This window comes from Homo sapiens, chromosome 8 (genome assembly GCF_000001405.40).
Source record: "Homo sapiens chromosome 8, GRCh38.p14 Primary Assembly".
NCBI lineage: Eukaryota > Metazoa > Chordata > Mammalia > Primates > Hominidae > Homo > Homo sapiens.
The window spans coordinates 117,070,484-117,084,141 of NC_000008.11; the positions used below are offsets into that span (position 1 = coordinate 117,070,484).

The following is a 13,658-nucleotide window of genomic DNA, read 5'->3' on the forward strand; positions in this document are numbered from 1 at the left end:
CCCAGACTCTGAAATTCCCATGACATCACTTCTGTCACATTCTATTTATTGGTTAAAGCAAGACATATCCATCACCTTGCTTACCTATCATTTGTTTGGTTAGACATTTGAAATTTATCCTCTTAGCTATTTTGAAATATATTATGTAATATGTTATTATTGACTTTAGTCATCCTGTTGTGCAATATATCTCAAAACCTATTCCCCTGTCTATCTAAAACTTTGTACTCTTTGATCAGCAACTTTCCATTCCCTCTCTCACACTTCCCCAGCCTCATGTAACCATCATTCTACTTTCTACTTCTATGAGTTCAACTTTGTTAGATTCCACATATAAGTGAGATCATGCAGTATTTGTCTTTTTGTGGCTGTCTTATTTACTTAGCATGATGCCTTCCTTTTTTAAGGCTGAATACTATTCCATTGTGTATATATATCACTTTTTCTTTATCATTTCAGGTGTTGATGGACACTTAGGTTGTTTTCATGTCTTGGCTACTGTGAATAATGCTGCAATGAACATGGGAGTGCAGATACTCCTTCCACATATTGATGTCAGTTCCTTTGGCTATATATTCTAAAATGGAGTTACTGGGTCATAGGATAGTTCTATTTTTAATTATTTGAGGAGCCTCCATACTGTTGTCCATAATGGCTATACTAATTTATAGTCCCACCAACAACATACAAGAGTTCCCTTTTCTCCATATCCTCTTCAACACTTATTGTCCATTTTTTTGTTGTTGTTGAGAGCCATTCTAACAGGTCTGAGGTGGTATCTTATTGTACTTTTAATTTGCAGTCTCCTAATGATGAGTGATGCTGAGCTTTTTTTTCATGTGCCTATTGGCCATTTTTATATCTTCTTTTGAAGTATTTCTGTTGAGATCCTTTGCCCATGTTTTAATTTGGTTGTTTTCTTGCTATTAAGTTAATTGACTTTTTAATATTATATTTTGGATATTGACCCCTTATCAGAAGTATGGGTTGCAAATATATTCTCTCATTTTGTGGATTATCTCTTCACTGTGTTAATTGTTTTCTTTGCAGTGCAGAAGATTTTTAGTTTGATGCCATTTTGTTTGTCTATTTTTTCTTTTGTTGCCTGTGCTTTTGGGTCATGTCTAAAAATCATTGCCTCAACCCATGCCATGGAGCTTTTCTACCATGTTTTCTTCTTGTAGTTTTACAGTTTCACATCTTATATTTATGCCTGTAATTGGTTTTGAGTTGATTTTTGTATGTGGTGTAAGATAAGGATCTAATTTTATTTATTCCTCAAATACTCATTGATATCATGTTAAATGAAAGTTTAATATCCAAAATTAACTGTATACTAGATTTACCATTTTAATAAACATGCTAGTTTTTCTCTGTTTGTTCATCTCCCATTAGCCTATCTCCCACCCTTCTCTGCCTTGTTTTATTCTGTTCATCTCCCATTAGCCTATCTCCCACCCTTCTCTGCCTTGTTTTGTTCTGCGTTCTAAGAGCCTAACTCTTACAGACTGTATTTTGCAAGCTTCCTCATCAGGAGCTTCCTTCCAATTGGTTTTGGTTTATCGGAGGCATTAACATACGATTGGAGGGCTGGGCTGGAGAAGAAAATGGTCTGGTGATTGATTTCTTACTGCTTTGGCACCAAATCTATGGGTTACCATGATTACAGTTCCTGCTAAGTAGCTGTATGTTCTTCCTTTGACTTTGGCTAAGGGTTGGTGACAGCTTTCCACTTTTGTTATTCATTCTGTGCCTCACTATCCACTGCTTAATCCCTCGCCCATCCCACTTTTCTGAAAGCAGCCTCTTTATTTGACCATCTAGAGTGAATTCAAGTATATATCCATAAAAGATATATGTTAGTTGTCTCTTTATTTGACCCTTTATTAGGAATATGCAGATATAGTGAATACATTTTTAAAAGCCTATCCCTAATGACACCAAAAATTAGAATATGCCTGTGTTTATTTCTTTTTGCATTTTCTAAGAGGTAATGTTTCATCCTTAATACCTAGTATACATCTAATCAAGGATAACATTCATCATACAACCACAATAAGATTTTCCAGTTCTTTATATTTCTTTCTTACTTTAAGTCCTTTTTCTGACTTTCCTTCACAATATCCTACTTTTTTCTCCACAGTATTTTATTTTATTGTCATCACCTACCTTTGATTTTATTTTCCTCATTCATTCCCAGATGTTTTATAGACCCATCTATGTGAGCTGTTTTGTCAGTCTCTACATTAAAGGGACATAAAAAATGAAGCCCAACTGAGAACATCTTCATAAGCCAATAGCAATTTCACCCCCTACCAAAGAAAAAAACTGCTCAAACCCCCAAATCCTACTACTTTTTTTTTTTTTTTTTCAAATACAGGGGATTTTTTGTCCAGTTTTTAGGATTAGCAATTCAAATCTTTATTTCATGTATCCAAACTCTAGAGTCCTTGCACATGTAAAATTTCCATTAAATTTAATGTGGTCTTTGGTATAAAATATACTGTGTCTGACATTTATGTGTGATGTGAGAGTAGTGTTGTGTCTGGAACTTTATTTCAGTTGCTGAGGTTGCTTTATATCTTTTGATTTTTGGATCATTTTGCTGCATTTCCATAGCCACCATTGTGATTCTAGTTGAAAAATGTTCATTTTCCACTTTGTAAAGTAGATGCAATTCTACATGCTTGAGTGCACACTACTTCTAAGACTAGAGCTTTTTGTTAGTAACATTGCTTATGTTTCCTTCTCTAGTTACTATAATATTTCTTTCACTTTTTTTTTTTTTTTTGAGACTGAGTCTCACTCTGTCACCCAGGCTGGAGTGCAGTGGTGTGATCTCGGCTCACTGCAACTTCCTCCTGGGTTCAAGGAATTCTCATGCCTCAGCCTCCTGAGTAGTTGGGATTACAGGCATGTGCCATCATGCCCAGCTAACTTGATTAGATTTATTTTTAGTGGAGATGGGGTTTCACCATGTTGGCCAGGCTAGTCTTGAACTCCTGATCTGAAGTGATCTGCCCCACTTGGCCTCCCAAAGTGCTGGGATTACAGGCATGAGCCATTGTGCCTGGCCGATACTTCTTTCTACTCTACAAATAGTTCTTGCTTTTTGACTTAAAATAGGCCACTATTCTTTAAAAAATTTCCTCTGCAATCTGGTCTGTCTCATTCAGTACCATTTTCACCTCAACTATTCAAAACTCTTTCCCTTTGGAAAATAAATATCCTCTTACTTATAAGTTTAAACCAGTTTCTCAAAAGAGATATTATTTTAGCCTAGAGAATACTGTGGTCTGAGTCACATGGATCATAAAACCCAATGGCACAGTGGATGACATGGCTCTTCTGTGATCTAGTGCCTGCCTAAGTTCCCCGTCAGCCCTCCACAAATAATTCATAGGGTTGATACGTGGGACCTGACAGTCTACTCATTCTGTTCTTTCTGCTTGTTTATGAATTAAGGTAGATGGCATTGGGAAAGTTAATCTTTCTTGCCACAGGAGAGTAAGTAGAAGGCAGCATCGTACTTGGTTAATTGGGGCGGGTGGGTGGGGGTGGTTCTTCTTTCCCAGTGACAGAAGGTGGAAGACTTCAAAATGTACCAGAAGGAGACAGATGCCAACTGTGAGAAGAAGGTAATAACTACCTAAAGGTCTTTAAGAATGAAACGCATGCACGTTTGTGTGTGTTTGTTATGATTTTAGTGCACTGGAGAATCTGATATTTGTTTCTAAGTGATTAGATTTACTCAATTTGAAGGGCGCAGTATTATAAGCCTCATGGCCCTTCCTGTGGACTTTGCATACAATGGTTTCATTTTGAGTCAACATGGAACAAAAGAAATCTAAGAATCCAAACTCTAGCATAGACTCATGAATTTGGGCAAGTTTTATGTTGTCTAGTTCCTAGTGTTTTCTTCTATAAAATGGGAATAACTACATATGACTTGCTTACCTTAGAGGGGATAGTATTATAAGGCAAGTGTGCTTTGAAAATTGCTACATGCTATACAGATGTATAGAATCGTTATTTCAGGGGGCATTGATGTTATAGCCATCACTGTCACTAACACATTGATAATATTTAAATCTTTATCACCAACCCCAGTCTCCCCCTTGACCTCAGATCCATATTTTCAGTGATCTGCTCGATATCTCCTTAAATGTAATTAAAGGCACATCAGTTCAGTATGTCTTAAGTGATACTCGTCATCTTTTGAACCTGCTCTTTCTACTGTACCATGGTTAATGACACCACTGTATTTCTTGTCACTTAAAACAGAAATCTAGTAATACCCTTTACTCTTTTCCATCCTTCATATCTCATTAAAATAGTAAGATCCGTTTATCTGCCTCTATAAAATTGCTTGATTCTGTTTTTTTCTCTCCATTATCACCTATGTTCTAGGTTAGGACCCTTGTCATTGTGGGAGAAACAAACGGTACATGATTTACAATGAACGTCTTGGAATTATGCATTAGTTTTTTTTTCTTAAATAGGTCTATAGGGAGAAAACCAACAGCAACAGTCAATACTGTCTAACCAGCAAGTTAATTCATGCCTTTATGTAGTGGAAAAGTTACAGAAAGAAGTTAGTATCCAATTTTAGTGAATAAACTTGATTTCTATAACTAATATAATCTAGCAAACACAACTTCCTATAACAAAAAAATAGTGAGCAAAGACATACGATCACAAACATAGTAAACAAGCTTGCAGTAACCTTGAAATTAAGAATTATATTTCATAGGAGAAAACTATGTCTTTCTGGTTAGGAAGCAAAATATTACTGGAAATCCTTCTCCCTCTTTTAGCTAACTGGGCAGAATCTCAAGTTTAAAACAATAATATATGAAGTACTATAGGTTTAACTTTTCAATATACTTGACTGATTCTTTCTTTATCATTCTTTTATGAAAATGAGCTTGTAAATATTTCTTAGCTTCTTCCATATTTTTATAACAGAGCATGGATTTCTAGCCCAGTGCTTTGCAGTCTCAAGGACTCTTATACCAACAACTTCCTTTCCTCTTGAGAGTTCTCATAAAATGTCATTGTGATATGTGCTTTGTGGCTTCAAATGCAATTTTAATCAAGTTCATATGAAAGTTTGGGTGAGTTTACAATTTTTTCTTTCTACATTGTCTTTTGGACTGTTTAAATCGTCTTTTTATTGGTTTTCTCATCTTTAGCTTCACCTTTCTCTAATCCGTTCTTCATATTGACAGCTATGACCTTTGTAGAATGCAAATGTAATCAAGTCACTTTCATGTTCCAAACCCTTCAGTGGAGTTTGAAACCTATAACATGCAGGCAAAAAACCTTGATAGGGTGTAGAAGTTCCTCTATGATCTGGCCTCTCTTGTGCCACATTTGTCTAGTCTCTTCCCTGTACCCTCTGTCTCAGATATCTCATCTTCCAGCCTTTCGGACTACTTGTAGTTATTCAGATACACAATATGGGTTTGTGTCTCCGTGTACCTTTACCTAGAATTTCCTCTCTCATTACTTTCTCTTGCCCTTCCCACCCTGGTGAAATCCTGCTTCCTTCTTCCTCTCTCTTCTTTTCTCTCTTTCTTTGGTATTTAAACCAATTTTAATTCTGAAATAATTTCAGACTTTAAAAAGTTACTAAATAGTACAATTTTCTGTACCCCCTTCAGCTAGAGTTCCTTAGCTTTCTAGCTGCTGTTCAGTTTTATTATATCATGCCAGATATGCCAATAAAATGTATTCCAAGCATTTCCTATGAAAACATCCAGGTAACACCATCTTCCAAATATTTTTGGTTAAATAAATGTCTAAAGAGGAGAAGTCTATTTTTCTGTATTTACTGAAATTGAAGAGCTAGAGTTTTTCCCTTTGGGAAGGCAAGACAACCAAAGGTAATCAGATATGAAATTCATTCCTTCTGCCTTTTCTTGGCTTTAGAAATTTAAACTGCAGCGAATTTTGAGAAATAGTTACTCATCAAGATGAATGAAGAAAATTACAGAGCTCTCTGCCACAGTCATCCTACCCCCTTGTCTTGTACTCTGATTATCTAAAGAAAGAGGGAGAAAAAAAAAGTGGAGTGGGAACTTCCAGGAAGAACCAGGCTATTATTAATTAAACACAGGAAGTATTCCTTTCTCCAAGACACACCTATTCCAGTTTTTAGGTTGGGATTCAGTTACTCTTTCTTCTTTCAACTAAACTACATGTCACACTCTTTTTTAATCATTACCTTATTTATCTATCTCCACTGGACTCTGATTTCTTCGAGGAGAGGGGTCAAATAGTCATTTTTTTTTTTTGGCGGCACCTATTAAAGTGCCTGGCAAAGAGGAGGAATTAATGATGTTTGTTGACTGATTGACTGATGAACTAAACTAATAAAGTGTAGCAGCAATTAACAAAGGTGATCTTGATGTTTGCAAAATGTCTTCCGAAGGGATATTTCAGCATTAAAAGAAGACAAGATCTCTTGTGATGACTCTTGGTAGGGTATGTTCTATTTCTCTAAATTTTCTTGGCTGACATAGGTAATTATAAAACTTTTGAAGACCTACTGGAATGTTTTTCAGTTCTGCAAAGTTATTAGCAAATGTAGCTCTTGATAGACCACCTGTTTACACTCATGCAAACTGGGATATCCTCCCAGGTTACTCCTGTCTGAGCTCTCCTATGTGACCTAGGTGAGTATGGGCCACTGGCAGTCTATTCACCCAATAAAGGTGATGCCTCAGAATCCCCGGAGGAGCTTGTTAAAAATACCAATGTCAGGGCTCTAGCTCATAGTGACAAAGGGAAAGCCTTAGATGGAAATTTCAATATTTTTGCACTTCAAGCTTCTGATTCTTTTCATCATTCTAAAAAGAAGAAAAAAATATCTTATGGTTGCTTGTATAGGCATCTCTGTGCTTATTTTCTCTAATCAATAAAACAAGGTACTTTTTCAATTGAACTTTTTTGATGTCTGTGCTATTGGCATTGGATTTTGGTTTTAATCTAAGGCCTATGATCTTTGGACGCAAACCTATAAGAATAAGAGAAAAACCAATATGAAGAATATGACTACTTTATTTCATCATCTGTAAGATGTATATCTCTCCTATCTTAAAATCTCTGAAACTGGGATGTACCTTTTAATTGATGGCATTTTATATTATCTCTCAGGGAGGCAGCAGTTGTGAAGTGGTTGGCATGACCTGTACATGCATTCAAGATGTCAGCATCAAAATTTGTTGAATGCATGTCAACAGCTTGGAAAAAAATCCTGGAGACAGAAGTGGATCACTCTTTTTAACCACTAGAAACCAATTGTTCAGATTATTGGCAATCTTTCTAGAGCGAGTCAAAGAAGACTAGCTGTACATGATTGCAAAACTATGTTAAGAAGACCTAAAGTAAACTTGGTTTTTGATATGGATTTTAGAAAATACTTTATTATCAACTTCATCATTAGCACTTTTCGTGGCACGGATTGATATTGTGTAGGAGAAGTTGGATATTAAGGACTCAGTGAAAAAGTGATGAAGATTTAAGTCTGAATTTTAGAGAAATGTCAGGAATACCTTAACCAGTTTATTTCTCTTACATTTTCCTTTTCATGTATGCACAAAAGTAATTTATGATAAAAATCTATGATTAATTAAGCCAAAACCATTCTTCCAATAAATATAATATAAAAATTCTAAGTGATAAGGCAGTCTTAGGTTATAGTTTAATTAGCAGGATATTTTTCTTTCTTTCTTAGAGGTCCCACAGTAATGGAATTTCTTCCCATTGATGGATAGTTAGATTCCATGAAATGAAGTAATGAAAATTCTAGTCCTACTGCTTGCTTCCTAAGTGCCAGACACTCTTCCAAGCAGGCCACATGTATCAACTCATTTAGTTTTCACAAAACCCTATGAGATAGGTGCTATTGCTGTTCTCATTTTACATAAAAGGAATGAAGTCACAGAGATGTGATTCTAACTTTTGGCTACTTTCTAGATTTTTTTTTTCTTTTTTTCCCCCATGTTGCTGAGTCCATGCATGTAGCTACTTTCTAGATTTTAAAACCATGACATTCCTCTCTTACACTCAGTTCCTCATCTGCAAAGTGGGCATCATAAAGTTCATCTCATAGGACTGTGGTGAAGATTAAATTAGCTGATATATTTATATTATGTCACTTAGCACATCAAAAGGTTTAAGTAAGACAATTCCAAAAGTTATGAATTCTGTCTTTTTTCTTTTATTCCACTGTGTTGTCCAGGCTGGAATGCAGTGGTATGAACACAGCTTAGTGCAGCCACCACTACCTTGGGCGCAGGTGGTCCTCCCACCTCAATCTCCCGAGTGGCTGGGATTATAGGTGCATGCCGCCACACCTAGCTAATTTTCTTATTTTTTGTAGAGGTGGGGTTTCACCATGTTGCCCAGGCTGGTCTTGAATTCCTGGGCTCAAGTGACCCACCTGCCTTAGCCTCCCAAAGTGTTGGGATTAAAGGTGTGAGCCAATGTGCCTGGCCTGAATTCTCTTTTTTCTTTTCTCTTTTTTGTCTTTTTTTTTTGAGACAGAGTCTTGCTCTGTCGTCCAGGCTGGAGTGCAGTGGCATGATCTCGGCTTACTGCAACTTTCGCCTCCCCGGTTCAAGTGATTCTCCTGCTTCAGCCTCCCCAGTACCTGGGATTGCAGGTGCGGGCCACCATGCCTGGCTAATTTTTGTATTTTTAGTAGAGACAGTTTCGCCTTGTTGGCCAGGCTGGTCTTGAGCTCCCGACCTCAGGTGATCTGCCTGTCTCGGCCCCCTAAAGTGCTGGGATTACAGGAGTGAGCCACCACACCCAGCCTGAATTCTCTTCCTTTTACTAATGAAAATATTCACATAGTAGTCATTGTTGGTTGCCTACGTGGCTTTTCTCTTCCACCATAAAAGGATCTTTATTTTGTTCACATATCTAGCACCTCCACCAAGTAGCCCCTGTGTCTCAGGGTAAACTAACCCTTCAGAACTCTAGCAGTGACGTTTGATTATTTTAAGCTTCATTGTACTATTCTCCTTGCTAATGATGGGTTCAGGAACCCAGGGCTAAGCCAATCAGATCATGATATTTCCCCTAAGAACAAGGAAATAGCATGGGCATTTGACCCAATGGGGTATAAAGATAAGTTGATGGGTACTTCTGGAAAAAGATGAAGATATAGGAAAATATATATGTTTCCAGACTATGAAGCCCAGCACTGCCACAGCTATTTAGCTACCTGCCTGAGGATGGAGTGGGTCCATAGTAAGGAACAGATCTAAAACAGCTATAGAGAAACAGACAACTGGGGCTACGAGAGTAAGTCAACTGCAAAACGCACCATAATTTTGAATTCCCCGTTGTTAAACTGAGTCAATTCTTTTTTGTTTAGACTAACTTGAATTGAAATTTCTGTTATGTGTAGCTAAAAGCATCCAGAATCCTAACAGAACAAATATCTCTAATTACTTTGGTCGTGTTTGTTCCAGGCCCTCTACTCTGCACTTGGTGTACATTGGATGCATCCTTACATCACTATCTTCATTTTAAAGTAAGGAAATGGAGTACAGACAAGGAGCGAACTCAGAATTTTCTTTTCTTTTTGCTTCTCAATCAGTGATCTTAACCACCCTATCTTTCTTAACCTGATATCTGGTACAATTTTTTAAAAATCTTTTTTTTAAGATTCATTTTTACTCTTGTTTTACAAATAATCCATGGTCATTATAGAAAAAGTAGAGCATACAGAAGCAAAACTGAATATAAGAACAATTCATATTTCCACTTTCTTGAAATAACTACTGTTAACATTTGGCGCATACCTTTTATTTTTTTAATTATTTTTTCTTTTTCAATTTTTATTTTAGATTCGGGGATACACACGTATCCCCTGTGTAACAAACACAGGTTTGTTACAAAGGTATACTGTGTGATGCTGTGGTTTGAGGAACGATTGACTCTCTTACCCACGTAGTGAGCATAGTGAGAAGCCCTTGCCCCTCCCTCTCTCCCTCCTCTAGGAGGCCCCAGTGCCTATTGTTCCCATCTTTATGTCCATGTGTACCCAGCGTTTAGCTCCCAATTGTAGATGAGAACATGTGGGATTTGTTTTTCTGTTTCTGGATTAATTTGCTTAAGATAATGGCCTCCAGCTGCATCCATGTTGCTGCAAAGAACATGATTTCATTCTTTTTTATGGCTGCATAGTATTCTATGGTATATATGTATCAGATTTTCTTCATCCAGTCCACCATTGTTGGGCACCTGGGTTGATTCCATGTTTTTGCTGTTGTGAATAGTGCTGCAATGAACACACGGGTACATGCATCCTTTTGCTAGGACAATTTCTTTTCCTTTGGGTTTATACTTAGTAGTGGGATTGCTGGGTCAAATGGTAGTTCAATACTTAGTTCTTTGAGAAATCTCCAAACTGCTCCCCACAGTGGTTGGACTAATTTACTGTTAAAATTTTGTGATGGTCTGTTTTGTGACAAAAATATCTATCTTAGTAGAAACTGTTTTCACCTAAATATTTAATCTTGTTTCATTTTATTTACTTTAATATCTTCCTCCAAAGTCATTTTTTGTAAACTGCAGAGTCATCTGCATCTTATTATTGGTGAAATTGATATCATGGGTGACAAACTGTACTCAGGCAGGTAATGAGTGAAAAGATCAGGGTGTGGGAGAAAAACCCTAAAGTGCAGGCATGGTGATAGATGTTGAGGGCACAGTGAATGTATTAGTCTACCAAGGCTGCCATAACAAAACACCACAGACTGGGGCGCTTAAATAACAGAAATATTACAGCTCTGGAGGTTGCAAGACCAAGATCAAAGCGTGGGCAGATTTGGTTTTTCCTGTAGCCACTCTCCTTGGCTTGCAGATGGCCGTCTTCTCACTGTGTTCTCACATGACTTTTCTCTGTGTGCAAGCATCCTTGGCATCTCTTCCTCTTTTTGTGAGGACATTAGTCAGATTGGATTAGGGCTCTACCCTAATGGCCTCATGTAACCTTAATTGCCTCTTTAAAATCTCTATTTCCAAATACAGTCATGTTGAGGCTAGGACTTCAACATATGAATTTTGGAGGACTGCAATTCAGTCCCTAATAAAGGGATATAGTGGGGCTCTGGTGACCTGGAGAATGAGCATTCTCTTGTCCTTTTGAAGGAGACCCTCCCCTATTTGGCCCCCATTAATTACTGCCACAAGGAAGGAGGACTTGGCATTGTCAGGTCTGCCTTTTCAATTCACACTTGGAATACAAGTTTTTAAGTAAAGTCTTCCAATTTCAAAAATTGTCACCTAATAACAAAAATATGTGTTTGTGGCCAGCTATCTGTTTGTGAAGTCTGGATCAAATAGGCAATAATTGCCGATTCACAACAATGGGTTGTTCTGTCACCATTTTCTGCTCTTCTCCTGCTCTCTCTCTTCCTCTAGGTACCATTTCACTGCAAATAGAGAATGTTGGAGCTGGACTCAAGTAGTAGCCCAGCCTCAGTCAGACATGGGTCAGAAGTCATTTAGTTGTCATTAGTTATCTCCTGAGTCCCTGAGATAGAATAAGTCAAGTTTTGAGAGGTCAGCTATTCTTCAATAGACTTATTAACTGTAATTGGTTCCACTAAGATAGAAACATATAGTTATATTTAAAGAATCAATAGTCTCAGTCAATTATTAAAGTAGGTGAATAGCTACTGAGTGTCCAAGGACTAATACCATGTATGCAGTGATCCATACCCTGCTTTAATTATAATTGGTCTAGGTCTTTAAAGCACAAGGCACTGTCTAGATGAAGTATGTAATGACTCCCTAATGATGAAAAGTAATGTGTATATACAGAGACAGCAAGAAAGAACCAAATGATTAAAAGAGAAAAAAAAATAGCTGATCACAGAAAATGCACTTTCAAAGAATTTTAAGGTTGAGAAGGTATTTATTTCTTTTTATCTCAGTGTAGTGGTCTTGGCTGAGTTCCAGTGCTTCAGGGTTTTCAGGTACCAAAAATTCAACCAGGTGGGTGGTTAGAGAGAACAGTCTAGAAGATCCAACAAAAGGCAGTTGGCAGATGTCCAGGTAAGGATATTGATCATGATGATGTGAAGATAAGAGTAGACAATTTGAAAAGAAGTGAATGTCATGTGATAGGACCTACTAGAATAATGTAGAGTTCAGGACTCTGAATCAACAGAGAGGACTGACAGAGAAAGCCTTAGTTTGGGAGAAACGATAATGTAAGAAGTGTTCAGTCAGGACTAGAGAACGAGCCTGTTTTGTTTTTGATTTTTGTTTTGTTTGAACTGGAGCACCAGAAGAGAAAAAAAAGCACTAGGAAGTTTGACTTGATGCCTAGACAAGACAAGGACAAGAGCTCAGGAGAAGGGTCTGATCTTGCAGCTGGAAGGAAAGGAGGCTAAGCAGTTTTCAGGAAAAGCAGGCAGAAACCAGACAAGTGATTACAAAGTCATTGGATGCCAAGTGCAAAACAGAACCTGTATTATGACCGTGACTAAAAGACATCACACCACTGGATGTAGAAACGAGTAGCTCCGGAGGGACATCTCTTCTCCATTGTGGCAGAAATAATGATCCTTCCCAAATATTCCATTTACTTTCCCCACACTTCCCAGGTTCCTTCCAATTAGAATCATGTGACTCCTTTTGGTCATTGAAATGACAGCAAAAAATGGCATATGTCACTCCCAGGTGGAGGCAATGAAAAGTGCACGCACTTTCCCCCTTGTGGTGGATGCTATGATATGCTGCCCAGATCTGCTCTTCAGGACTGAGACTCTGATTCCTCCCATTGCTGACAGCTCTCAGCTGAGTTGCTCTCCTGGAATTATCCTCAGTAGAGGAGAGCCACTTTACTCAAGGTCATAACCTCTCTCTGGGGTCAAGCTAATCAAATGACTGGTTGATAAGGGATAATAAAGGCCCAGGTCCCTTGCCTTAAGGTGAGAGAACTGTGAAGAACCATTTGAGCTCCAGGACTCCCTTTTGGGTTGGTCAAGACCTTTGTTGTTACTACATACATAGTAAGTAGTTCAACAATTGTCTGCTCAACCATTCTTGCACTATCCCTGGCAGATATCAATTAGAGTTCCCTCCCCAATAACCTTTTTGCACAGAAATCTTTATCTTGATCTGTTTTCCAGGTAGCCTGACCCAAGACACTTTCCTTCTGCTGATGTTTAGATCATGTAGCTATGAGATGGCAAAGAATGTTACAATCTGGATCTGTGAGTGGAACAGAGCCCTTGTGGACCTGCAGTAGACATGCTGCATGAATAAGCAATAAGCCTTTATTGTACCAAGCCACTGAGATTTGGAGATAATTTGCCACTAATGCCTAACCTAACCTATCCTGACTAATAATTACACTCACTGTGTCACCCATGTCCTTGATCCTCCTGATGGGCTCCTCCTGACCAATTGATTTCATCTGACCAATTGATTTCAGGCTACTTTCAAGATAGCCCTACTGAGCTTTGCCGCCCCAAGATAAGAGCACAGAGATTAAGTAACAGAGCCCTTATATATTCAGTACTGCCCTAAAACTTGAAATATTTTTGACTATAATTTTCTCTGAGAGTAACATAATGGATCTATTTAATAGATGAGACCTCTTGAGGCCAATGAAGTACAACAAG

General features: G+C 37.8%; 1 protein-coding gene across 4 annotated transcripts in view; it reads left to right on the forward strand.

Moving 5' to 3' along the window:
* SLC30A8 (solute carrier family 30 member 8) overlaps window positions 1-13,658 on the forward strand; it is a 226,498-nt gene that overhangs the window by 120,267 nt on the left and 92,573 nt on the right. The gene's annotated exons all lie outside the window — the stretch shown is intronic.